The sequence below is a fragment of the Homo sapiens genome, chromosome 2, assembly GCF_000001405.40.
Source record: "Homo sapiens chromosome 2, GRCh38.p14 Primary Assembly".
In the NCBI taxonomy this organism is placed as follows: domain Eukaryota; kingdom Metazoa; phylum Chordata; class Mammalia; order Primates; family Hominidae; genus Homo; species Homo sapiens.
Genome location: NC_000002.12, coordinates 53,810,545 through 53,838,490, shown reverse-complemented (window position 1 = coordinate 53,838,490; position 27,946 = coordinate 53,810,545). Strand labels below are relative to the sequence as shown.

At 40.6% G+C, this 27,946-nt stretch overlaps 2 protein-coding genes and 1 long non-coding RNA gene across 5 annotated transcripts in view, besides 1 other annotated feature; 2 read left to right on the top strand and 1 right to left on the bottom strand.

Moving 5' to 3' along the window:
- Positions 1-27,946, top strand: part of GPR75-ASB3 (GPR75-ASB3 readthrough) — a 189,675-nt gene that overhangs the window by 21,477 nt on the left and 140,252 nt on the right. The window lies entirely within an intron of this gene.
- LOC112268415 (uncharacterized) lies at positions 145-19,757 on the top strand. The gene is made up of 2 exons (XR_002959386.2): positions 145-258; positions 18,247-19,757. It is a non-coding gene; the product is annotated as an uncharacterized LOC112268415 (long non-coding RNA).
- Positions 11,565-11,859: a silencer, noted in NCBI's record as "tiled region #2358; HepG2 Repressive DNase matched - State 5:Enh, and K562 Repressive non-DNase unmatched - State 23:Low". NCBI's record gives its function as "represses a minimal TATA promoter and a strong SV40 promoter by Sharpr-MPRA in HepG2 and K562 cells {active_cell/tissue: HepG2 | K562}" and the evidence as "EXISTENCE:reporter gene assay evidence [ECO:0000049][PMID:27701403]".
- Positions 19,695-27,946, bottom strand: part of ERLEC1 (endoplasmic reticulum lectin 1) — a 31,753-nt gene continuing 23,501 nt past the window's right edge. For 2 of the 3 annotated variants that reach the window (NM_015701.5, NM_001127398.3), the window contains 4 exons: positions 25,418-25,542; positions 23,871-23,948; positions 23,556-23,631; positions 19,695-20,593 (listed from right to left, as the gene is read on the bottom strand). In NM_015701.5, the coding sequence (NP_056516.2) occupies positions 20,522-20,593; positions 23,556-23,631; positions 23,871-23,948; positions 25,418-25,542 (351 nt within the window). In that variant the 3' untranslated portion in view covers positions 19,695-20,521. The remainder of the gene's footprint in view (positions 20,594-23,555; positions 23,632-23,870; positions 23,949-25,417; positions 25,543-27,946) is intronic. The other variant, NM_001127397.3, reaches the window with a different exon arrangement.

Sequence of the window (27,946 nt, the reverse complement as noted above, 5' to 3'; positions counted from 1 at the left end):
ATTTTGGGGTTATTATGTAGATAAAAATGTTATCTACTTGACAGAGGAAACTGTTTTGTAAAATTTTCTAAAAATGTCATCTACAAATAATAATGTTTTGGTTTTGGTTGTTTTTTGTTTTTGTTTTTGTTTTTGTTTTTTGAGACAGAGTCTTGCTTCGTTGCCCAGGCTGGAGTGCAGTGATGCAATCTCGGCTCCCTACAACCTAAGCCTCAAGTGATCCTTCCATCTCAGCCTCCTGAGTAGCTGGGACTACAGGTGGGCACCTCCACACCCTCCTAATTTTTGTATTTTTTGTAGAGACGGGGTTTCACCACATTGTCCAGGCTGGTCTCTAACTCCTAAACTCAAAGGATCCGCCCACCTTGGCATCCCAGTGTTGGGATTACAGGTGTGAGGCACTGCATTTGGCAATAATGGTTTTGTTTCTTCCATTCTAAGCCTTACACCTTCACCTTTTCTTGTCTTACATGGTTAGCTAGAAATTCAGTACAAGGTTGAACAGAAGTGTTAATAGTAGGCATCCATTCTGGTTGTCCATTTGAAATTTTCATCAACTCTGAGAGTGTTGTAGGTTTTTGTTAGATACCCTTTATCAGTTTAAAAAGTTTCTCTTCTGTTCCTCGTTTATTAAGAGTTTTTATTATAGAAGAGGGTTCAATTTTATTGAGTGACTTTTCTTTTTCTTTTTTTGAGACGGAGTCTTGCTCTTTTGCTCAGACTGGAGTGCAGTGGCGCGATCTCGGCTCACTGCAAGCTCTATCTCCCGGGTTCACGCCATTGTCCTGCCTCAGCTTCCCGAGTAGCTGGGACTACAGGCGCACGCCACCACGCCCGGCTAATTTTTTCTATTTTTTAGTAGAGCCGGGGTTTCACCGTGTTAGGAAGGATGATCTCGATCTCCTGACCTCGTGATCCACCCGCCTCAGCTTCCCAAAGTGCTGGGATTACAGGCGTGAGCCACAGCGCCCAGCCTTGAGTGACTTTTCTGAATCTGTTGAGATAATCATATGATTTGTCTCATTTTGGCCATGATGGTTTTTTTTAAACACTACTAAATCAGGACTGGGCACGGTGGCTCACTCCTGTAATCCCAGCATTTTGGGAGCCTGAAGTGGGAACATGGTTTAAGCCTGAGTTTGTGGCACCCCGTCTCTTAAAAAAAAAAAACAGGCATGGTGGCACACATATGTAGTCCTAGTTGCTCAGGAGGCTGAGGTGGGAGGATTGCTGAGCCCCAGAAGTCAAGGCTGTAGTGAGCTGTGACTGCACCACTGCACTCTTAGCTTGAGTGACAAAGTGAGACCCTGTCAAAAAAAAAAATACTAGGTCAATTTGCTAATATTCTAAGATTTTTGCATCTGTTCATAAAGAAATAACCCTGCAATTTTCACTTCTCATAATTCTCTTGTCTGTTTATCCTGGTTTCATATAATGGGTGAGCAATGTAACTTCCTTTTCTATGTTATGGAGTAGTTTGCTTAAAATTGGAATTTATTTTTCCCTTTAATGTTTGATAGAACGCTCCTGTGAAACAATCTGTGCTGCTGTTTACTTGGAGGAAAGTTTTTATCTCTTGATTCAATTACTATAATGGTTGTACAATTTATCTAGTTTTTAAATTATTATAATAGTATTAGTATTATTATATGCAATGTAATACAGTAATATTTTCTAAGAATTTTTCCCCATTTTGTATATATTTCAAACTTCTTGGCATAAAGTTATTCACAATAATCTATAATATCTGTTAATTCTGTGCAGAATCTGAGTTTTGTCACCTTTTTCATTCTTTTTATTATCTTTGTATGCCTTCTCTTTTTTATTTATTATTTATTTATTTATTTATTTTTTGAGACGGAGTCTCGCTCAGTTGCCCAAGCTGGAGTGCAGTGGCACGATCTTGGCTCACTGCAACCTCCACCTCCTAGGTTCAAGCAATTCTCCTGCCTTGGCCTCCCGAGTAGCTAAGATTACAGGTGCATGCCACCACACCCGGCTATTTTTTGTATTTTTAGTAGAGATGGAGTTTCACCATGTTGGCCAAGCTGGTCTTGAACTCCTGACCTCAGGCGACCCACCCACCTCAGCCTCCCAATATGCTGGGATTACAGGTGTAAGCCACCGTGCCCAGCCCTCTTTTTTCTTTTCTTGGCCCACCTTACCAAATATATTTATGGTATATGTATTAGTCCATTCTTGCATTGCTATACAAAATACCTGAGGCTGGGTAATTTATAAGGAAAATAGGTTTAATTGGCTCACGGTTCTGCAGGCTGTACAGGAAGAATGGCACTGGCATCTGCTCTGCTTCTGGTGAGGCCCAAGGAAGTTTCAATCATGGCAGAAGGCAAGTGGGGAGCCGGTGTATCACATGGAGACAGTGAGAGCAAGAGAGAGATGGGGGAGGTCCCAGAAACAACCAGATCTCACATGACCTCATAAAGCAGGAACTCACTCATTACTGCCAGGATGGCACTAAGCATTCATGAGGGATCCACCTCTCTTACCCAAACATGTCCCACCAGGCCCCACCTCCAACACTGGGAATCACATGCAACATGAAATTTGGAGGGGACATACATCCAAACCATGTTAGTGTACAACATGATGTTTTGAGGCCGGGCGTGGTGGCTCACGCCTGTAATCCCAGCACTTTGGGAGGCCAAGGTGGGCGGATCACGAGGTCAGGAGATCGAGACCATCCTGGCTAACACGGTGAAACCCCATCTCTACTAAAAATACAAAAAATTAGCCGGGCGTGGTGGTGGGTGCCTGTAGTCCCAGCTACTCAGGAGGCTGAGGCAAGAGAATGGCGTGAACCCAGGAGGCAGAGCTTGCAGTGAGCCAAGATAGCGCCACTGCACTCCAGTCTGGGCGACAGAGTGAGACACCGTCTCAAAAAAAAAAAAAACAACCACATGATGTTTCGATATATGTATTCATCATGGAATGGCTAAATCAAGCCAATGAACATATGCATTACCTCACATACCATTTTTTTGTGGTGAGAAAACTTAACATCTACTTTCTTAGCAATTTTTGAGTATGAATACCTTGTTATTCACTAGAATCACCATGTTGTGCAATGGATCTCTTGAACTTATTCTTCCTAACTGAAATTTTGTATTCTTTGATCAGCATCCCCCAATGCCACACCACTCATTAACCCTGGTAACTGCCATTCTAGTCTGCTTCTATGAGTTAATCTTTTTCAGACTCCACATGTAAGTGGTATCAGGAGGTATTTGTCTTTCTGTGCCTGGCTTATTTCATTTAACATAATGTCCTCCAGGCTCATCTGTGGTGTTGCAAATAATAGGATTTTCTCCTTTTTTAAGGCTGAGTAGTATTCCATTGTGTATATACACATTTTCTTTATCCATTCATCCATTCATGAATACTTAGGTTGATTCCATATCTTGGGTATTGTGAATAATGCTGCAGTAGACATAGGATGCAGATATCTCTTCAACATACTGATTTCATTTCCTTTGGATATATACCCAATAGTGGGATCATTGCGTTATATAGTAGTTCTATTTTTAATTTTTTGAGAAACTTCCATACTGTTCCCCATAATGGCTGTACTAGTTTACCTTCACACCAACAGTGTTCCAGGGTTCCCTCTTCTCTACATCCTTGCCAACACTTTGTTGTCTTTGGTCTTTTTGGTAATAGCCATTCTCACAAGGATAAGGTAATATCTCATTGTGGTTTTAATTTGCCTTTTCCTAATGATTAGTGATGCTGATTTTTTTTTTCTTTTGAGACAGAGTCTTGCTCAGTCGCCCAGGCTGGAGTGCAGAGGCGCGATCTCGGGATCTCGGCTCACTGCAAGCTCCGCCTCCCGGGTTCACGCCATTCTCCTGCCTCAGCCTCCCGAGTAGCTGGGACTACAAGCGCCCGCCACTACGCTTGGCTTTTTTTTTTTTTTTTTTTTTTTGTATTTTTAGTAGAGACGGGGTTTCACCGTGTTAGCCAGGATGGTCTTGATCTCCTGACCTCGTGATCCACCCATCTTGGCCTCCCAAAGTCCTGGGATTACAGGCGTGGGCCACCGCCCGGCCGATGCTGACCTTTTTTTATATACCTGTTGGCCATTTGTATGTTTTCTTTTGAGACATGTCTATTTAGTTCCTTTGCCCATTGTAAAATCTGGTTAATTTTTTCTTGCTATTGAGGTGTGTGAATTCCTTATATATTTTGGATATTAACTCCTTATCAGATACATAGTTTACAAATATTTTCTTCCATTCCATAGGTTGTCTTTTTCACACTGTTGATTGTTCCCTCTTTTGTGCAGAAGCTTTTTAGTTTAATGTAATCTCATTTATCTACTTTTGCTTTTGTTGCCTATGCTTTTGGGGTCATATTCAAAACAATTATTGCCCAAACCAATGTCATGGAACTTTTCCCCTTTGTTTTTTTCTAGTAGTTTCACAGTTTCAGGTCTTACATTTAAATCTTACTCCATTTTCAGTGGATTGTTTTATATGGAGTGAGATAAAGGCCCAGTGACATTCTTCTGCATGTGGATATACTGTTTATCAACAGTATTGAAGAGACTGTTGCTTCCCCATTGTGTGTTATTGGCATCTTTGTTGAAAATCAATTGACCAGAAATATGTAGATTTATTTCTGGGCTTTCTATTCTGTTTTGTTGGTCTACAGATCTGTTTTTATGTCAATAGCATGCTGCTTTGATTATGGCTTGTAGTAGATTTTGATATCAGGTAGTGTGATGCCTCTTGCATTGTTCTTTTTGCTATTTGGGGGTCTTTGGGGGTACTTTGGCTATTTGGGGGTCTTTTATGGTTTCATATGAATTTTAGGATAGTGTTTCCTATTTTTGTGAAACAGGTCATTGGAATTTTAATAGATTGCATTGAATCCTTTGAGTAGTAGATTGATTTGGGTAGTATGGACATTTTAACAATCTTATTCTTCCAATCCATGAAGACAGGATATCTTTCTTTTTATTTATGACTTCTTTAATTTCTTATAAATGCTTTATAGTTTTTGGTTTATAGATTTTTCACCTTCTTTGTTAAATTTATTCCTAAATATTATTTTTGTGGCTACTGTAAATTGGATTGTTTTCTTTTTCTTTTATTTTCTTTTTTGAGACAGGGTCTTGCTCTATTGCTTAGGCTGGAGTGCCGTGGCACAGTCATGCAGCCTTGACCTCCTGGGCTTAAGCAATCTTCCCACCTCGGCCTCCAAAGTGGCTGGGACTACAGGTACACACCACCATGCCCAGCTAATTTTTATTTTTTATTTTGTAGAGATGGAGTCTCACTGTGTTGCCCAGGCTGGACTTGAACTTTCAGGCTCAAGTAATTCTCCCACCTCAGCCTCCCAAAGTGTTGGGATTACAGGCGTGAGCCCTTGCTCCTGGCCTAGATTGTTTTCTTAATTTCTTTTTGGAATAATTTGTTAGTGTATAGAAATGCCATTGGTTTTTCTATGTTGGGTTTTGTGTCCTATAACTTTACTGAATTCATTTATTAGTTTTGAAAATTTTTGATGGAGTCTTTAGCATTTTCCATATAAGATCATGTTGTCTGCAAACAGACAATTTAACTTCTTATTTTCCTATTTGCATCCCTTTTATTTCTTTCCGTTGCCTAATTTCTCTGGCTAGGACTTTCAGTACTATTGCAACCAGACGTTTTTATAGATATTTGTATCAGTTAGCTGTGGCTAAGTTGTGCTGTGGTAATAAGCAATTTCAAACCAATTTCAGTGGCTTGCCACAACAAAAATTTCTTTCTTACATATTGACTATGAATTGACTGTGACTCTGCCCCATTCTGGGATCCACACTGAAGACATAGTTTTCTGTGCCATGCCCATCTAGGGCAGAAAGAAAAAGTAGTGGCTCTTACAGACTTATGGTCAAAAGTGGCACATATCAATCCACTCACATTTCACTGAACAAAGCAAGTCAAATGGCCAAGCATGATTTCAGTGTGTGGGAAATAGAAATCTTCTCATAGTGTGGACACTGAAAGAATACAGCAATGGGTTGGAATGTATAATTCTTTTTTTTTTTTTTGAGACAGTCTTGCTCTGTCACCCAGGCTAGAGTGCAGTGGCGCGATCTCGGCTCACTGCAACCTCCACCTCCTGGGTTCAAGTGATTCTCCTATCTCAGCCTCCCGAGTAGCTGGGATTACAGGCATGTGCCACCACACCTGGCTAATTTTTGTATTTTTAGTAGAGATGGGGTTTCACTATGTTGGCCAGGCTGGTCTCAAAACTCCTGACCTCAGGTGATCCACCGGCCTTGGCCTCCAAAAGTGCTGGGATTACAGGCTTGAGCCACTGCACCCGGCCTGGAATCTATAATTCTTTCACAGGGTAGAGCAGAAACTATTTGGAACAATAATACAATTTACTGCAGTATGATCTCATCATTCAGTTCTAAGTATTCTCTAATTTGCATCATATTTTTTTCCATTGGATCCATAAATTATTTAGAAGTGATTCTCTTAATTTCTGAAAGAGTATCTTTCACTTATTGATTTCCAAGGTAATGAGATTATGGCCAGACAGTGAGATCTGTATGATTCCAATCCTTGAAAATTACTTGAGATTTGCTTTATGCTTCAGTATATGGACAGTTTGTGCAAGTGATCTGAATGTGCTTGAGAAAAACATGCTATTTTCTAATTATTGGCTAAAATGTTCTCTGTATGTCATGTAGTTCAATCCTATTGATTGTGTAATTCTTTTTTGGAGGGTTGAGGGATGGTAGCAAAGAACCTATTGGTTTTGTGCCCCACCCACTGATTGTATAATTCAAATATATATTATTACTGATATATTTTTTGTCTCATTGATAAGCTGTCAATTCCTGAGAGAGAGAGAGAGAGAGCAGCAAAAGTGCTTATGTGTAGAAAGTAGTCTACTTGCATGCAGTGTGCAAAGCCTTATGTAGAAGAGTCTACAGAGAGAGGAGAGAACCTCAGTGAACTGCTGGATTGTTAAAGCAGAGATCTGTTAGGGAGTATCTAAGGCAGCATTGTTTAAAATTTTTAAACAAGGAAGATTGTTGGTCAGACGCAGTTACTCACACCTGTGATCCCAACACTTTGGGAGGCCAACGTGGGAGGATGGCTTGAGCCCAGGAGTTCGAGACTAGTCTGGGCAATATGGTAAGACCCTGTCTCTCCAGAGGAAAAAAAAAAAAAGAAGCCAAGCATGGTGGTGCACACCTGTGGTCCCAGCTACTTGGGAGGCTGAGGTGGGAAGATGGCTTGAGCCCAGAGAGTTGAGGCTGCAGTGAGCTGTGATTGTACCAGTGCACTCCAATGTGGGTGATAGAGCTAGACCCTGCAGCAAAAAGAAAAAAAAAAACAAGATTGTTGTTACTTAAAATTTATTCCTGAACTTTATTACCGTATAAACGTGCATGTGTACACTGTTGTAATCAGAACGTACATATATTACTGTCTCTTCTGTTGAAATCACATCATCTAACTTTTGAAGAGCAGATTCATTTTATGAATACAATTCTAATTACTCCCCAACCTCTGTCTGTTCAAGGAAAGTAATGTGGTTGGAGACTCCATCAAGGCAACCTAGCAAATTAGAAACGGAGCTGCGGCTGAGCGCAGTGGCTCACACTTATAATTCCAGCTCTTTGACAGGCCAAGGCTGGAGAATCACTTGAGCCTGGGCAACATAGTGAGACCCCATCTCTAAAAAAAAAAAATTATAAAATAAAAAGAAACAGGGCCAGGTGCCATGGCTCACACCTGTAATACCAGCACTTTAGGAGGCTGAGGAGGGCGGATCACCTGAGGTCAGGAGTTGGAGACCAGCCTGGTCAACATGGCAAAACCCCGTCTCTACTAAAAGCCCCTGCTTTCAAGGCCACCATTGTCATTCACAGATCAGTGGCAACATAGAAAGTAATATGGATGAAAGCTGTAATAGGATCTTTCAAGCTCTCAGACAGACACACACTTTTTCTCCTATATTCACTAAAAGCAGTTTTTTTTTTCCATTAATGCAAGATGACCATGGTTCTCTTAAAAGAGACTTGTCTCATTGTTCTCCTACCACAGTTGAGGACAAAATCCAAGTCAATGAAGACATTAAGGCCTTGGCCGGGTGCGGTGGCTCACACCTGTAATCCCAGCACTTTGGGAGGCCCAGGCAGGTGGATCACCTGAGGTCAGGAGTTAAGAGACCAGCCTGGCCAACATGGTGAAACCCCATCTGTACTAAAAATACAAAAATCAGCCGGTGTGGTGGTGTGCCTGTAATCCCAGCTACTCAGGAGGCTGAGGCAGGAGAATCACTTGAACCTGGGAGGTGCGGGTTGCAGTGAGCCAAGATCGCACCACTGCCCTCCAGCCTGGGCAACAGGGCAAGACTCTGTCTCGAAAACAACAACAAAAAACAAACAAAAAAGACATTAAGGCCCTGTGGAATGGTGAGAGGAGTGGCAGGCAAGCTCCTGGGAAAAGACTTGCCTTTGTCAGGGGTCCAGGCTTTAGAGAGGTCAGGCCTAGACTTAGTTTGGAACCATGGGCAAAGCAGCCAAGCTCCAGCACTGGGAAGACTCTGCCTTAGCAGATGACCAGAGCATGTGCTCCCACGTGCACCAGTCCAGCTGCACCGGCCCAAATGCGGTGAAGGGCAGGAGAGGCAAAGTCACTTCCAGGAATAGCAGACAGTGACCACTTGAAGCTGGATGGGGTAATCTCGAGGGGGTAGAGAAGGGAAAGGTGGAACAGAAAGATTGAAAAATAGCTTTTCATTCACTCCTGCATCCCTAGAGAAAGAGCTGTAAATTGAGAAGCAGGTGCTGGCAGTAATTACGATAATATTCAGCCTTCTGCTTTCAACTTTGTTTAAATGCTAATGACACTCACTTTTCTATTTCCAGTCCTGATCTTTCCCTTCACTCCATGCTGGTCTATCAAGTTCCCTATTTAACATTTCCACTTGTGTGTCTAATAGGCATCCCGAAATGTAACATGTGCAAAACAACCCTTGACTCAACTCTGTTCTCTACCACACGAACTCCTCCTACCGTTTTATCATCTCAGTAAACAGCACTGCAGTAACCCAGCTGCACAGCTCAATTTGGCGTCCTTGACTCTTTTCTTTCTCTTGCACACCATATCCAACCTATTGACAAATCCTGAATTATTTTAAAAATAGACTCTAAATCCAACGATTTCTCACCTCTTCCGTCCCCACCCCACTAGCCCATGTCCCCATCATCTTTTACCTGGAAAATTAAACCAACCTCATCGTTTTCCCACTTCCAGTCCTCTCCTACAGTCTCTTTCCCCTGTAATAGTGATCCTTTTAAGGTAAATCCTATATGTCACTGTCCTGCTTATAGACTTCCAGTAGCTTTCTATCCCACTTAGAACAAAATCTGAAGTCCTTGCCATGGCCTGTGTAGCCGGAAAGAACTGGTCCCTGGTTTCTTCTCTGTCTCTGTTTACTTTCATTCATACCCTGCCCAATGTGCCCAGGCTGCAGAGACTTCCTGGCTGTTTCTCACATGCCCCATTTTTGTCCCCATGTCAGAGAATTCCCCCAGAAATATTTCCATCTGGAATGGTCTTCCCCGGTGGCCTTTCCTGGTCCCCATACTCAGTGCCACTTTCCATTCCGCCACTGCCTATCTATCTATCCCTCTACCTTACATGATTTCCTTCATAGTTCTGATCACTTCCTAATATTATGTTATTGATTAGTCTGCTCAGGTGGGCGTAACACAGTAATACCACACACTGTATGGCTTAAACAACGGAAATCAATTTTCTCATGGTTCTGTAAGTTGGAATTCCAAGGTGCTGTCAGGTTTGGTTTCTGGTGAGGGACTCTCTGGCTTTTAGATGGCCACCTTCTTTCTGTGTCCTTACATGGCAGAGAGGAAGAGAGGAAGCCAGCTCTTTGGTGTCTTTTCTTATAAAGGGCACAAATCCCATCATAAGGGCCTCACTCTTATGACCTCATTTAACCTTGATTACTTCCTGGAAGGACTCTATCTTCAAATATAGTCACGGTTGCATTTAGGGCTTCGCTGTATGAATTTGGAGGGGGACACAGTTCAGTCTACAAGTTACATTTTACTGTTTACTGGCTGTCTCCCCACTAGAATACAGCTCGAATGGAGCAAAGACTGTTTTGTTTAGCACCATACCCCAGTACCTACCAGTCCTCGTCCCTTGTTGGCTTTCTGTGAATAGTTGTTGAATAAATGGATCAATAAATGAATGGATGGATGAAGTGATCCATGGAAGTGATGTCAACCGAAATCAGTATCTGGCTGGCTTATAATTTCCTCATGTTTATTTTTTGTATGACTCTCTATTTTCCCAGGATGATTTTTAGCAGGACTTTAATGAAAGGGGATCTGGGTCCTGACTTAGGACTGCAAGGCCCTCTTCCTGACTGTTTACTCAGTTAAGGGAACCATCATCCAGCTCAGAAGGCATCTTTTCCCAGGGACAACCCTGGCTGCCCAGGAGCTGCCAGACAACCTGCATTCATTATCATTGGAATTCCTTGGCTCATTATACTGCCTGAAGTCATTGAAGGCTAAATAAAACTCTTCAGCAACCACAAAAGAATTAAGGGAAAAAAGGGACAACTAGTTCTTGCAAAGAGAGGAGAGGGGGTACCAATTATTTTAAGGCATAGGACAATTTGAATAAAGGTGGATATTGAGGGAAATGTTACTTTCCACAAGAGATAATTTAATAGACAATCGCTTTAGGTCTAATGCCTTTGAGATTATTTTTATTTTTATTTTTTGAGACAGAATCTCAGTCTGTTGCCTAGGCTGGAATTCAGTGGCATGATCCCAGTTCACTGCAGCCTCGACCTCTGGGGCTCAAGCAAACCTTCTGGCTCAGACTCCCAAGTAGCTGGGACCACAGATGTGTACCACCACCTCTGGCTGATTTTTGTATTTTTTTGTAGAGATGGAGTTCTGCCATGTTGCTCAGACTGGTCTCGAACTCCTGAGCTCAAGTCATCTGTCCACCTTGGCCTCCCAAAGTGCTGGGATTGCAGGCAGGAGCCACTGCATCTGGCTGCCTTTGCAATTAATTTTACCAAGGAAAAATATCACTTAGTTGCATGTAGACAAATTAGTGAATTTTCCTTCTTCTCATCCCAATAAACACATTTTTTTTTCATACTTACAGTTGGCTGATGCCAAGTTAAGTTCAGTTTGTTTCTCTGAGTTCTGTTTATGTGAAGGTTTGCCCTTTTGACATCTTCCTGATCTTTCAGCGGCCTTGTAGCATGCTAATGAGTGGGAGATCTCTCAATGGACTCTCAGTGTGGGAATCTGAATTTTCATGCAGAGCCTGATGTTTTGCAAAATGTTGCTTGTTCAGGTGCCAGATAGACCTTACAAAGCTAAGCAGTTCACAAAGAGTGCTTTATGCCTGTCTTCTGAGGCCAATGTACTAGGACAAGTTTCATAACCTGTGTAAATGCCTCAGAGTTATGTCACATTAGCAAGGGCTTGTGAAAGCTTGTTGATCATTTGTTTGGCTTTAGCAACAATGTTTGTCAAAGAAATTTTAAAAACTAGTTTTATTAATATTACTTGAAAGAGAAGACAGAATTACACTTTGCGAAGAGGCCATGAAAATAGCCACTTTTTATGGAAGAGTTCAGAGTGCCTCAGAATTGGAATGCTTTCAGTTCATGGAGCGGGGTGGATATGCCACAGAGGAGGGAGACACAGACACTGTACTCACATTGTTAGTTTGGAGAAGCAACATATGAGACTGTGAGCAATCAGTGCAAGGCAGCAAAAAATTGATTACATGATGCCATGTGGAATCCAAGAGAAAAGGAACACAGATGAAACAAAACAATAAAAATGCTCCTTTTTCTTTCCCAACTATTGTAAAACTGAAGAACATATTTTGTTTTCCCCTCAAAGCACCAAACACTGAAAAATAAGGAGTGTTGAGAGTGAACAGAGGGATTAGTTTAAAAAAAAAAGTAATAGGGAAAATTGGAGTAGTTGAGAAAGATTTTATAAGGTGTGGGTTAAGAGAAGATGAGGGTTCATTCATTTATTCAGCAAATGTTTGTTGAGAGTCCCTTTTATTCATAGTCTGAGGAGAAACAAAAATAAAATGCATTCTTTACTCCAAAACAGAAAGCCATACATAAAAGATGAAGGAATTCTCATTCTGTCACTTAAATGATAAACATGATCTGGATCTAGATAATTGGCATTGTGCTTGCATTGTTTACCAACACCAAAAGATTATCAAAGAAGAGAGGGTTTGGCATGTAACCTAGCCAGAATTCCCAAGGTGACATTTTAATCTTACTAATGAAATATTCGCCAGATTTTTGAATTGCATTAGCATAATAAAAATAACATATGGGAAAAATGAGTGTCATATGTTGCCAGGAAAAAATTAATTGCTGTACTCATTTTACAGAGAATTTTGCTGAGCCCTTCTATGTGTTCTCTCAGGTGGGAGATGACAGTAGAGAATGGTGCATGAGGCAGAAGACATTTCTGTGAAGCAAAAGCAGTATGGCACTCATTTATATTTGATCTTAGCCGAAAGGCCGAGAAGCGATATGGCATACATTTATAAACATAGACTCTGAATTGGTTCAAATGCTGACTCAGCCACATGGAGTACTTAATTCAACTTTTTTTTTTTTTGAGACAGTCTTGCTCTGTCACCCAGGCTGGAGTGCAGTGGCACGATCTTGGCTCACTGCAATTTCCGCCTCCCGGGTTCAAGCGATTCTCCTGCCTCAGCCTCCTGAACAGCTGGGACTATAGGCACCCGCCACCATGCCTGGCTAATTTTTGTATTTTTAGTAGAGACGGGGTTTCACCAGGTTGGCCAGGATGGTCTGGATCTCTTGACCTCCTGATCCGCCCGCCTCTGCCTCCCAAAGTGCTGGGATTACAGGCGTGAGCCAATGCGCCCGGCCTCAAATTTTTTTTTTTTTTTTAGAGACAGGTTCTTACTCTGTCACCTAGGCTGGAGTGCAGTGGCACAATCCTGGCTCACTGCAGCCTCTAACTCCTGGGTTTAAGCAATCCTGTAGCCTCAGGCTCCAGAGGAACTGCCACCACAGGTGCACACCACCACACGCAGCTAATTTTGTAATCTTTGTAGCGATGGGGTCTTGCTATGTTGGCCAGGCTGTTTTTGAACTCCTGGGCTCAAGCAATCCTCCTGCATGGGCCTCCTAAAATGCTAGGATTACAGGCGTGAGCCACCACAGCCGGCCACACTGCTGGACTTTTAAGTAAATTTATTTTTTAATATATATTTATAAAATAAAAGTTATGTTTGTACTTGAGGAAAATATATAGGAAGCTATGTTGTATTTTTTCTTAAATTCAAGACAAAGCACAATTCTTTCTATCAAAAGGTCCTAGAAGGCTGGGCACCTGCAATCCTACCACTTTGGGAGGCTGAGGCAGGAGGATTGCTTGAGGCCAGGAGTTCAAAACTAACCTGACCAACATAGCAAGACTCCCTCTCTATAAAAAACATTTAAAAAGTATCTATTTCAAGGATACTAGCAAAAAGGTTAAACGACATGCAAAGATTATTATTTAGTGTGGCATTGTCTGTAGTGGCAAAGGATTGAAAAAAAATTAAAATAGATTTGAAACACATAATGTAGTATGTGATTAGATGTGAGCTCTTTAGCACTATTTTAGTTTTACAAACATCTTTGGTAATTGAGTTGGTTGCTGTTTCCAAAAGTCCTGCTTGATTTACTTGCTTTTGGTGAACATTTTTTGTTTCAAGTGTAAAAAATACTAAAATGCTTAAAAATTTACAAATAGCGGCCGGACGCGGTGGCTCACGCCTGTAATCCTAGCACTTTGGGAGGCAGGGGTAGGCAGATCACGTGAGGTCAGGAGTTTGAGACCAGCCTGACTAACATGACAAAACCCGTCTCTACTAAAAATACAAAATTAGCCTGGCGTGGTGGCGCATGCCTGTAATCCCAGCTACTCCAGAGGCTGAGGCAGGAGAATCACTTGAACCCGGGAGGCAGAGTTTGCGGCAAGCCGAGATGGGGCCATTGCACTCCAGCCTGGGCAAAAAGAGCAAAACTCCGTCTCAAAAAAAACAAAACAAAACAAAAAAAACCCCAAAATTACAAATAGTTGTGGATGCAAGATACTTCAAGCTCTGTATTTTATTTGTTAATAATTTTGCTTTTCTTTCCACTTTAATTTTGAGACTGTCAGGCTTGCCTTTATTTTCTCCACGTATTAAAAAGTGGAATTCTAGTAGTCTTCAAACTGTAGGCTCTAATGGCTGCTAACCAGGAAAACATGCCATTCTTTCCCATAACTGTAAAAAAGACATTACTGTGTTATTTCTTTTTCTTTCTTTTTTTTTTTTTGAGATGGAGTTTCGCTCTTGTTGCCCAGGCTGGAGTGCAATGGCCCGATCTCGGCTTGCCGCAACCTCTGCCTCCCGGGTTCAAGTGATTCTCCTGCCTCAGCCTCCTGAGTAGCTGGGATTATAGGCATGCACCACCATGCCTGGCTAATTTTTTATTTTTAGTAGAGATGGAGTTTCACCATGTTGGTCAGGCCGGTCTCGAACTCCCGACCTCAGGTGATCTGCCTGCCTCGGCCTCCCAAAGTGCCTCGGCTCCCAAAGTGGTGTGAGCCACTGTGCCCAGCAGAGGGCATTACTGTATTATTTCTAAAAAAGAAGTCTTGCACGATCTAAGAACCTCAGTGATTAGAACCATGGCTGGTGAAAGTCACCTTTTAACCTCCACATCATAATTCTGATTGGTTATCTACCTGATCAGGTAAAATCTTTTTTTTCTTTTTTTTTTTGGAGATGGAGTCTTGCTCTGTCGCCCAGGCTGGAGTGCAGTGGCGTGATCTCAGCTCACTGCAAGCTCTGCCTCCCAGGTTCAAGTGTTTCTCCTGCCTCAGTCCCCCGAGTAGCTGGGACTACAGGCGTGCGCCACCATGCCTGGCTAATTTTTGTATTTTTAGTAGAGACGGGGTTTCACTATGTTGGCCAGGCAGGTCTCGAACTCATAACCTCAAGTGATCGGCCTGCCTTGGCCTCCCAAAGTGCTGGGATTACAGGCGTGAGCCACCGTGCCCGGACAAGATATGATCTTAAGGCTTACATTTAGATTAACAATTCCATTTTCTGAAAGGTAATTAATTTAGTCTATGATCCTGTAACAGGATAAAAGTGAAAAATAAAGAAGGGTATCCCCATCATCTCCTCCAAATGTGTATCACCGACTCTTAGGATGCTTTATGACATAAGACTTTCTCATTTATGAATTATTGTGTGTACCACATATTATATATTAGTGAGGCTTAACATCTTTCACAGATGAAAAATAGAATTTCTAATATGTTCTTCCTACAACCCAATGCATCATCTTGCCTGCTTGCTGAAACCACGTTTGAGACTATCAGCATATGAGATAAAACATGCTCTTGAGTGTGCAGTGGGTTCCTTACCTCCCCTGCTAAACAAGTGAGAAAAAGAGAGCCAGCATGGTGATGCCCATCTTGAGTTCCCAAGAGGCTGCAGCTGGAGGATGGCTTGAGCCCACAAGTTCTGGGCCTTAGTGTGCTATGGCAATGGGGAGCCAGGGACCACCAGATTGCTCAAGAAGGGTGAATCAGCCCAGGTCAGAAAGGAAGCAGGTCAACAAAAACAACAACAACAAAAGAAAAAAAGAAAAAGAAATGGATTTTCTTCTAAGCCATGCCACCATGGCAAGCACTGGTAATAAAATCGCCCAACACTAGGAAGAGTTTGAAATCATTCTAGGAGGCCAGCGTGGTGGTGCATGCCTGCAGTCCCAACTACTTGGGAAGCTGAGGGTGGAAGATTGCTTGAGCACAGGAGTTTGAGGCTGCAGTGAGCTGGGATTGCACCACTGCACTCCAGCGTGTGCAAAAGAGTGAGACACTGCCTCTAAAAAAATCATTCTAGGGTAGCTGATATGTATTTTCATTTGAAGCTCTGATTCCAAAACCTAATTATTCAAAATTTAGTCTTAACTTTATTTTCTTGTTTAGCTTAAGTCCTTTAATGCTAGATCTTTGGTGCTGCTGGGTCAATAATTTGGTCTGATTATGTACTAGGTTTAGGTACATAAACCTTACGTACTTAAGTATTGTCAGAAACCAGGTTAGGTCTTTGGGTAGCAGACTGATTGAAAAGGATAGTTCATAGGGGATAGTACACAAAACATAACTATTCAATTTTGAGAAAGTTTGTTGCCAGTGTCCCTTTAATCAAGGATTATAAACTAGGGGCCAGTGCAGTGGCTCGCCCCTGTAATCCCAGCACTTTGGGAGGCAAAGGCAGGAGGATCGCTTAAGCCCAAAAGTTCAAGACCAGCCTGGGCAACGTAGGGAGACCTTGTCTCTACAAAAATTTAAAAATTAGCCAAGTGTGGTGGTGCATGCCTGTAGTCCCACCTACTCAGGAGGCAGAGGCAGGAGGATCCCTTGAGGCCAAGAGGTCGAGGCTGCAGTGAGCCATGACCGTGCCACTGCATTCCAGCCTGGGCAACAGAGTGAGACCGTCTCTCAAATAAGTAAATAAACAAACAAACAAACTAGGGCTGGGCTACAAGCCCCACCTAGTAGCCTCTCAAAGAAAAGAGGTAAAATTTTAAAAAGCAGAAAAAAAACAAAAACAAAACCCCAACAAAAGTTTCCATGTCACAACCTTCTTGTAAAGATGAACTACTAATTATTTCCCTGAAACCCTCACCTGGAGACAGGAGGGCTAGTAGTTAGTGAAGTCCCCATCAGCAATTCTCAATCACTAGAGAATTTATTTAACAAAGAGAATCACTTGCTATGTTTATTTAAAATACAGATTCTTAGGCCCTGTCTTAAGAACCTGGTTGGCCGGGAGCAGTGGCTCATGCCTGTAATCCCAGCACTTTGGGAGGCCGAGGTGGGCGGATCACAAGGTCAGGAGTTCGAGACCAGCCTGACCAACATGGTGAAACCCTGTCTCTACTAAAAATACAAAAATTAGCTGGACGTGGCGGCACATGCCTTAATCCCAGCTACTCAGGAGCCTGAAGCAGGAAAATTGTTTGAACCTGGGAAGCGGAGGTTGCAGTGAGCTGAGATTGTGCCACTGTACTCCAGCCTGGGTGACAAAGTGAGACTCCATCTCAAAAAAAAAAAGAATCTGGTTTAGGTATGGGATAGCACCGGCTTCAATAGACACGAGATAGACTTCTCAAAATGCATCGCCATATTATAGCTGAGCCATTTCCCTTCCCTGTTAGCAATTCAGCCTGCTTATACAGAATGATTGTATCACAGAGTTAGCAGCAAGTAAGCTGGAGAGCAAATGAGACTTCACAGACTACTGATAGGGGACTCAAGATTTAAAACAGATATGGAGATACCTGGACTAGCCCCTACCCTCAAAGAAGTTTGATCTATGTTAGTCAAGACAGAGAACTATTTTTTTGTTGAGACTGGGTCTCGCCATGTCGCCCAGTCTGGAATGCAGTGGCTATTCACAGGTGACATAGTGCACTACAGCCTCAAACTCCTGGGCTCAAGCCATCTTCCAGCGTCAGCCTGAGTAGCTAGGTGTGTACTCAACTAGAAGGCTGACTCGTTCTTATAAAATCTTTTTTATTTTGAAATAATGAATTCTGTTTTTAACAATCTTCCCTAGTAGACTATTCTAGTACAGTTTTTAAAAGATCATTTTTCCCCCTCTTCTAAGAGAGAGTTTGTTCTAAATATTATCAACGTATCTTCTGGCACTGACCTAATTTTTAACTCCCTCCCCTATCACCTATACTAAATATGAGGGTAATTATGTTATTTTAACTCATTGATATAATAAATATGATTCTTTAATTCATTAAAGAAATGAATTTTGGCCTGGTGTGATGGCTTATGCCTGTAATCCCAGCACTTATGGGAGGCCAAGGAAAGCAGATTACTTGAGGTCAGGGGTTTGAGACCAGCCTGGCCAACATGGCGAAACTCCATCTATACAAAAATACAAAAACTAGCCGGGCATGGTGGCATACGCCTGTAATCCCAGCTACTCAGGAGGCCGAGACAAGAGAATCGCTTGAACCCAGGAGGCAGAGGTTGTGGTGAGCTGAGATTGCACCACTGCACCCCAGCCTGGTTGTCAGAGCGAGACTCCACCTCAAAAAAAAAAGTATTTTAATGGCTTTGATCTTTGATCTTCTTAACAGGAGACAGACGCAATAAAAGGAAGTTAACATACTGGTATCAAGTATTGGACAAGACTTTTTACACACAGTAAAATTCATTCACTGATACAACCATTTTATGAAGTAAGTATTCTCTCCACAAAAGAGGAAGAGAGGCTCAAAGACGTTCGCTGACATGTCTAGGATCACACAGCTAGTATGCGGTATAGTAAGAAATTTCGTGTTTGTCTCAGGTTCTTGACACAGGGTTCCTAAAACCTTAGGAACTTCCCAGGTAATGGGAGTGTCTTGTTACTTTTAAGGAGCCCTTTTTGATCACCCTATCTCTATCTGCATATAATTTATGCTGGATAGAGTTTATGCTAATGAGGTTACTGAGGTGGAGCCCCTAGATAGCCTCAGGATGGGGCTGCTCACTACAAAGACCAAGTGATTGATAGCTGGTTGGAACTTTCAGCCCCACCTACTGACCTCGGGGAAAGAAAGGGGGAGGGGGATCTGAAAATCAAACTCTATAAACTCTCTTGGGATCTGATGAGCTTCTAGGTTCCCGAACCTAGTGCTGGGAGAGTGGCACGCCCAGAGGAAGCCTAGAAGGTCTGCAGGCACCCCCTTGCCTCCCACCCCCGCCATACCTTGCCTTATGCAGCTCTTCCATCTGGCCATTCCTGAGTTGTATCCTTTATGATAAACTGGTAAACATAAGTAAAGTGTTTCCTTTAATTCTGTGAGGCATTCCAGCAAATTATTAAACCCAAGAAGGGAGTCATGGAACCCCTGATTTATAGCTGGTTGGTCAAAAGTACTAGATGCCCAGACTTGCAATTGGCATCTGAAGTAAGTGGAAGCAGTGTTGTGCAACTGAGCCCTTTACTTGTGGGGTCTGCTGTCAACTCCAAGTAGACGAGTATCAGAATTGAACTGAATTGTAGGACACCCAGCTGGTGTCAGAAAATTGGCTGGCGTGAGGAAGAAAAACCACACATTTTGGTGACCTCGTGTTCTGTGCTGTATTGGGTATAAGTGTTTGGTTTTTCCTATCTTGTACACAGTAAGTTAAAGACAGGATTTTGCACTGGTCTTGTTGGTGTGTGCCTGGTAGTCCCAGCTATTTGGGAGGCTGAGGTGGGAAAACTGCTTGAGCCCAGGGGTTCAGAGCAGCCTGAGCAGCCCCATCTCTGGGTAGAGAGAGAGAGAGAAAAAAAAAGGATTTTGACCTAGGTCTGAATTCAAAGTTCATGCTCTTTCTCTATGTGCTGCTTCCTACTAAAATCTATAAATAACCCTAAAAGAGTCAATTATATTAGCCTTTTCTTAAACTGTCTTTGGCCAGAACTACTAAAAAGGAGGAAAAGACTTTTATGGCCCTTTTCTGTTCTTGTTCAGATATGTATGTTTAAAATGTGTACAACAGGATAATGAAAAAAATAAAGAAATTTAATAATCTGCCATTGACTACATGACAACACTGCTTGTGGACATTTTATTCACTTTAAAATAAATATTGTGCTGTAAACTGTTCAGAAGTGAAATCCATATTACAGTAGGCAAGTACAAGGGATAGACAGCACAGTGTTTTGTTAGAGTAAACCATTCTGAGTCTCAGAAGCATCACCAACTGTCTACATCAGATAGATACTCTGAGAGTAAACATACTCATAAGAAGAAAAAAGTAATAGATAAAAGTTCTGAGAGAGAAGCAACCTATTATAAATAAGAGTTTCTTGAGATTAACAAGGGTGAGGACAACTCCCATGTGAGCCTCTACCATGTGCCCAGTTTCTAGTTTAACTACTTGCAGAGAGCAGTTGCTATATAAAAATCTGTTGAAAGGATTTCAGGTACTAGAATTTACATATTTTACATGGTCTCTCATTTACACCTATCAATTTCTTTCTTCATGATCTTTACTTCATTAGCTACTTACATATACTATAATTTACATAATAAATCTATTATTTAAAAACTTTCAATAGGTACAACAATTATGACATTTGATTAGGCTGGACTCTAACTTGCTTGGATGAGATTTATTTTGGAATCACAGTATCCAAGCAAAGAAAAACAGTCAGTTTATAAGACACAACAAAAATGAAAAAAAGCGAGACAAATGTCTGCCTCAGAAGTTTATCAATAACCTCTTATATACACATATGTATTCACAAAGTGGTTGAGAGTCATTTTATACCATCCTTTAGAAGAGGTCCAATGGCTGAGAACTCTATAATGAGACACAGTGGGACAGAAATTATCATGACTTTCAATGATCTTTTCTTTCCCCTAACTTTAATATCCTTTAGTTGGGGAGAGAAAGAAGTCCATTTTCATCTGCTGTATCTAAGATTTTACAGATCACTGGAGATTCAACCTAAAGAAGAACAACAAAGCCATTAAAAAGTTGCTAAGCTGAATACTTTTCAGTACTATTCTGCTGAATGGATACATGTAGTTATATTTGCTAGAAGCATGAGTCCTTGTTTTAGATAAACATCCAACATTATTTCTACAAATTAAGCTTCTTGAAAAACAACTTTTAGTCATCCATACAGAATATGAGATAGGTGGAGAAAATATTTTTAAACAAGCGGGGGAGGGAAAAGGAACAAAGGACAGGAGTAAGAGAGGAACACATAGCTCTTATACAACAAAAATGATAGAACATTATGGCAAAATAATTAAGTGTATTTAAAATGAAAGGTAAAGAAAAATGTAACCCAAAGATGGAACAGATGTTGAAATTATCAAATGTTATAATAATTATACTAAACATGATGAAGAAAACATGTATGACCAGATAGGAAATTTCAGTAGAGATAAAAAAGAACCAAGTGGAGGCTGGGCACGATGGCTCATGCCTGTAATCCCAGCACTCTGGGAGGCCGAGACGGGCGGATCGTGAGGGCAGAAGATCGAGACCATTCTGGCTAACATAGTGAAACCCCGTCTCTACTAAAAATACAAAAAATTAGCCAGGCGTGGTGGGACATGCCTGTAGTCCCAGCTACTGGGGAGGCTGAGGCAGGAGAATAACTTGAACCCGGGAGGTGGAGGTTGCAATGAGCCAAGATTGCGCTACTGCACTCCAGCCTGGGTGACAGAGCGAGACTCTGTCTCAAAAAAAAAAAAATAAGTAAATAAAAAACAACAACAACAAAAAGAACCAAGTGGAAATGTTAAGAGATAAAAAATACATCAGTGATAAATTCATTCAATGGACTGGGCACAGCAGAGAAATTAACAAGTTTGAAGACAGCTTAACAGAAATGACCCAAATCGAAACAAAGGAAAAAAAGTGGGAATAAAGCAGTGTCTGAGATTCTGGAACAATTTTATACTAACATGTCTTATTGGAGTATCAGAAATAGAGGAGAAAAAGAATGGAGCAGAATAAATCTTTGAGGAGATAATGTCCAAAAATTTCCCCAAATTGATAAAATATATCAACCCACAAATCCAAGAAGCTTAGTGAACTCCAAGCAAGATAAATACAGAGAAAACCACATTTAGGCATTAGATAATCAAAGGTAGAACCATAAAGTCTTTAGAAGGAAATATAGGAGAATATTTTCATGATTTTGGGGTAGAAAAATTTCTTAGAACACAAAAAGCGTTAGCTATTAAAGAGGAATAAATGATAAATTGAATTTCATGAAATAAAAATTTTTCATTCACCAAAAGACATTAATAAGAAAATGGGGCTGGGTGCGGGTGGCTCACACCTATAATCCCAGCAATTTGGGAGGCCGAGGCGGGCAGATTACTTGAGGTCAGGAGTTCGAGACTAGGCTAGCCAACAAGGTGAAACACTGTCTCTACTAAAAATACAAAAATTAGCCGGACGTGGTACCATATATGCCTGTAATACCAGCTACTCGGGAGGCTGAGGCAGGACAATCGCTTGAACCCAGGAGGCGGAGGTTGCAGTGAGCCGAGATCATGCCACTGCACTCCAGCCTGGGTGACAGAGTGAGACTCCATTTCAAAAAAAAAAAAAAAAAAACCAACCAAAACCCAAAAATCAGCCAGGCACGGTGGTGCATGCTTGTAGTCCCAGCTACTTGGAAGGCTGAGGCACAAGAATTGCTTAAACTTGGGAGGCAGAGGCTGCAGTGAGCCAAGATTGCGCCACTGCATTCCAGCCTGTGTAGTGGCCGATGCCTATAATCCCTGCACTTTGGGAGGCAAAGGTGGGAGGATTGCTTGAGTCCAGGAGTTTGAGACCAGCATGGCCAATATGGTGAGACCCTATCTCTATTAAAAAAAAGAAAGAAAGAAAAATGAATAGGCAAGCCACAGACAGAGAAAAAAATATGTGCAATACAAATACAAAGAGTTAATGTCCAGACCTCTGTTAAGATGTGTTGAGAAGTGAGGACCTGAAATGTTCTCAACACATAGAAACAATAAATGCTTATGGTGATGAATATTCTGAATACCCTGACTGGATCACTACATATTCTATGGATGTAACAAAGTATCATATGTAACCTGTAAACATATACAAATACTATGTATCAATAGAAAAAAAATCAACTAAACAAAACACCACCAAAAAAAAGTGTTACACTGAGTCAGAGTTCAGGTACAGAAATATTATACACTATATGATTCCATTCATGTGGAATCCAAAAAAGAGACAAAACTAATCTACAATGTCATAAATCAGAAATGGGTATCTTTGAGCAAGGCTAAGGGGTATTTACTGGAAGGGAGTATGATAGAACTTTCTGCAGTGACATATCTTGTTTTGGGTGATAGTTACATGGGTGTATATAACTGTCAAAACTTATCAAGCTCAACACTTAAGATCTGTGGATTTTATTTCATGTAAATTATATCTCAATAAAAAATGTCAAGAAAAACCATGTCAACTATTACATGAGTGGTATGTGGGCCATATTAAGCCTTGGAGACTACTGAAGGTCCTTCCTAAACTTAATGCAAAAAATTAAAACATGGCAGCCGGGCGTGGTGGCTCACACCTGTAATCCCAGCACTTTGGGAGGCTGAGGTGGGTGGATCACCTGAGGTCAGGAGTTTGAGACCAGCCTGGCCAACATGGTGGAACCCCGTCTCTACTAAAAATACAAAAATTAGCTGGGTGTGGTGGTGTGCGCCTGTAATCCCAGTTACTCGGGAGGCTGAGGCAGAAGAATTGCTTGAACCTGGGAGGCAGAGGTTGCAGTGAGCCAAGATTATGCCACGGCACTCTGCCTGAGCCACAGAGCAAGACTCCGTCTCAAAAAAACAAAAAAAAAAAAAAAAAAAAAGAAAAAAAAATTAAAACATGGCTCAAAATGGAATTTTTGATTATTTTCTTTTTAACTTACCCCAAGAATATATTGACAGGAGTGAGGCTCTAGCATATATACAGTAACAGCATGAGGTGAATCTGATTCTTTGCACCTAAAACAGAGAGCACTTTAAGGTACTGTCCAAATCATTTAAAGTAAGATCACTGTTAATAACTGTACTCTTAAAAATCCCACTCAAGTGGACCCTGTATGATTTAATATAATTTTATCAATAATTTAAATGGTATACTTTCATAATTATTCATAATTATACTGTTTACATAAAACTTTTGTCCATAGGAAGCAGTTAAAAGACAAAGGCATACAGCATGATTTGATGGTCTAACTTACTTTAGTTTTACAGTCACCTGTCTTGGTTTGTCAGTTATATCACAAATATCTCCATTTCCATAAAAATGTGACACCATCCTGAATCAGAGAAACACACAAGTTTTATTAAACTAAAATCTCACTAATAGAATAATTGTAATGGGTAGGGTGAGAAGATGGTTAGAGGGATCAGTTTTGCATTAGTTAAAAAAAAACCTGACTATAAAATATTCTTTAAAAAAATATTTTTAGGGTTATCTCACAGAGGCATTCTCTTGGATTCTATAAAGAGAATATAAGAGATACTTCATACTGGCTTAGTTAATAATTATTTTCAACTTGCATATTATTTATTTGTATACAAATAATTTTGGTTAGATTCCTTTAAAAAAATTGTTTTAAAGTTATCAATTTCCCTAGCCCACTATATTGTTTTGTAAAACAGTTCTTTGCTTCCGTCCTCCATCAAGCTACTCCCATTAAAATACTGTTCGTTAGGCACTGTAGTATAGAAGACAAAGCCTAGGCCAAACTGTCAATCTCAAATGAGCAGGATCCAAAGAAAAGCTTCATTTTACCAGTCTAACACTCATTCTTCAACATATATTGTACATGATACCACAAACTGTTTTCACATAAAACATATACCTACAAGGATAAGAAAAATCAATTTGTTTAGTACAATAATTAAATGTCTGTGGGAGGGGGGAAGATAGCTTTAGGAGATATACCTAATGCTAAATGATGAGTTAATGGGTGCAGCACACCAGCATGGCACATGTATACATATGTAACTAACCTGCACATTGTGCACATGTACCCTAAAACTTAAAGTATTAAAAAAAAAAAAGTCTATGTTTTAATTTGGCTGACTTTGACTTTTATCAGCCCGAAAAGTCAGTACACTCTGAAAACAATCCAAATCATCTGTTTTAGGAAGGAAAAGGTAATACCCAAGAAGGAACAAGAAGGAATAATTGAAAACATACTGAGTTAAGAGTCTGCAAGAAAAGCTAATGCGTAGTTATTCTTGGGAAATGAGATTAACTTACTGGTGTTTTGACAAGGTATACTCATATATCCTAAAAGAGATGTGAGGTAGTTTTTAAAAAACACCCTCAGTTCTGACAGAATTGAGCCAGTTACTAACACCACTGCCACTCTCATTAATGTTATCACCCCCACTGTTATGGGTGGCAGCCCAGGTTTATTGCATGCTATTGCCAGGCATTCTCCTTTACATAAATTACCTCTTAAATGACACAATAATCATATGAGGCAAATACCATTACACAACAAAAGTGAGAGATAAAAAAGATGATGTAATTTCTCCAAGGTAGGAAGTGATGAGCCAGCATTTGAATCCAGGTAGTCTGACTCCAGGGACTGTGCTCTGAACTATTACACTGTGTTGCTTCCCTAAGAAAAGAAAACTAACCTAAAAGATATCCCTTGAAAAAAACTAAACAGGGATTTTACTTAAATGTTTGAATTTTTATGTTTTTCAATATTTTGAGTTTTAGAAATTGTAGTAATTAGCTCCAAAGGCAAGTAAAGTGAATCTTTACCTGACTGTCTGGGTACCATCGTCTTGAAGATGATAAGCTCTAGCAGTATTCTTCTTAGCCCATTCAATATGCTCTTCTTGGTTCCATGTCCCGACAACCACAGAGGTTTTCCCACTATCCTTGTCCTAATATGGGAAAAAAATTTGTGATAATGCGTGCTTGATATCATCAAGTAGATATTTATGCTGATGACCTGACCTTCTTGTAAGCTAGTCTTTATCTGCACAGTGGATATCTATATTTAGGTGTAATGATGTCAGTCAAATTCAATGAGTGGAAATTTAAGCACATTATCTTCTTTATTCCTTGTTTCTCTGAATAACATAACTAATTTTTAGTAAGGCTAGCTCTAAATGTAGTTATTTTCGGCTCTTCTATCTCTTTTTCTCTTCTACAGGTAAGTCCCATCAGTTCTTTCCTGGATATTTTTCAGCTTTAGACTCTTCCTCTACTTTTTCACTGCCAGCAACTCACCCCACAACCAAGAGTTTAATCTCTCATACCTAGATAATACTATCACATACTACTGCAATTCTTAATTGCATCTTTGGCCTCTATCTCTTCCACTGCAGCCTGACTTCATCCTACGCAATGTTATACTGATCTTTACACTATTCATTTGGTACCATACTTATTTCTCTATTGGAACTGTCTGTCCAGAAACCCCTTTTCCCATTCTGCTTTTATTATTTTTTAAACACTAACTATATACTGTCTTATATGTGGAAATCCTTCCTTCTTTCTTCTTCCTTATCCTTCCTACCTCCTTGCATTCCTTTGGTTTCTTTCTTCATAGTGTATGCCAGACAACCATGCTGGGCACTAATAGATATCTGGTTAGTAGAATTAAAAACCCCTGGCTGGGGCGCGGAGGCTCACACTTGTAATCCCACCATTTTGGGAGGCTGAGGTGGGCGAAATCACCTGAGGTCGGGAGTTCGAGACCGGCCTGACCAACATGTAGAAACTACTCTACTAAAAATACAAAATTAGCCGGGCGTGCTGGCGCATGCCTGTAACCCCAGCTACTTGGGAGGCTGAGGCAGGAGAATCACTTGAACCTGGGAGGCAGAGGTTGCAGTGAGCCAAGATTGCGCCATTGCACTCCAGCCTGAGCAATAAGAGGAAAACTCTGTCTCAAACAAAACAAAACAAAAAAAACCCCTATGGTGGCAAAGGAAACAAGCAGGGCCAATGCCCAGTGGAGCTTAGTGCCTAATGTAAGAGATAGCTAACAACATTTGTTTTTAGCAACTAGATTAAGTTCCTGGATAGGCAGAAATTAGAGCAGCAAAGTGAAGTGTTTTAAGAGGTTGGATATGGAGCCAGACTGCCTCGGTTGGAATTCCAGTTTCCCCAGTTACTACCTATTTGACTTTAGGCAAGTTATTGAACCTTTGTTTCTATTTCCTCATCTTGGAATAACAATAACCACTTCTTAAGGTTGTTATGAATATTAAAAGAATTAATACGTGTAAAGTACATAGTGCCTAGCATACAGTAAGCACCCTTTTTGCTAATTACTATTATTTTTAGTATCTCTCTAAACACCTAACAGAGTTCCCTAGAAAGTTCCAGGTTATGCAACCTTGGCTAAAATACGTTTGGTAAAACCTAGTGTTGGCAAGTGTATAGGAATGTAGCCACTGTTTATGGGAGTGTAAACTGGTCTAACTCTGGAAGGCAATTTTCCAGTATGCAGATACTTTGACCAAGGAAGTATGTTAATAGAAATGTCCCTTATGAATATACTTACAAAAGTATACCAACAGAACTATTTAAAAATGTTCACTAAAACATATCACAGCAAAAACTGGAAACAACTTAAAGGTCCATTAGCAGAGGTCTGGTCTGGTTAAATACACTGTGGTACAGACATAATCCTCTGTATCTGCTGAAAAGAATGAAATCGATTGTTGCTGACGTGGAGCAATCTCCAAGATACTAAGTGAAAAGAACAAGTGGCAGAGCAGTGCATGATACCTTCCCTATAAATAAAAAAGTTATACCAAGATCTATATATATGCATTTTTTTTCTTGTGGCAGGCTATGAAAATGTTAACAGTAGTTAAACTTTTTTGAGAAGTGGTATGATGGCAGAGGAGACAGATACTTCTCATTTAAAATTTCTGGCATACATTTCTTTAATTAAGAAACTCATCAGGTATTATAAGGGTTGTAGTTCAATGGTACTTTATCCTTTTTCTGTATTGTTATTAAAAAAACAAACATCTGCAAAGTAGCAGGAATAAATGGAAAGAATACTTAAATGAAACCTCTCAGGTTTAAGTGAAAAACAAAACAAAACAAAACAAAAAAACCGAACACATCCTAGTCTATGGATGCCTCATTCATTTTGGAAGATTTAAATGTGGAAGGTGAATTGACAGTCTGTCCCAGTATGATCTATCTTGGAATCTGAGATCAGTTCAAAACATTATGAGTGGGCAAATATACACTTTTCTATTTTGGGTATTATTTTCTTTTTTAGATAACGAAAATGGCCTTTTAAAGCAGCTAGGTCCATAT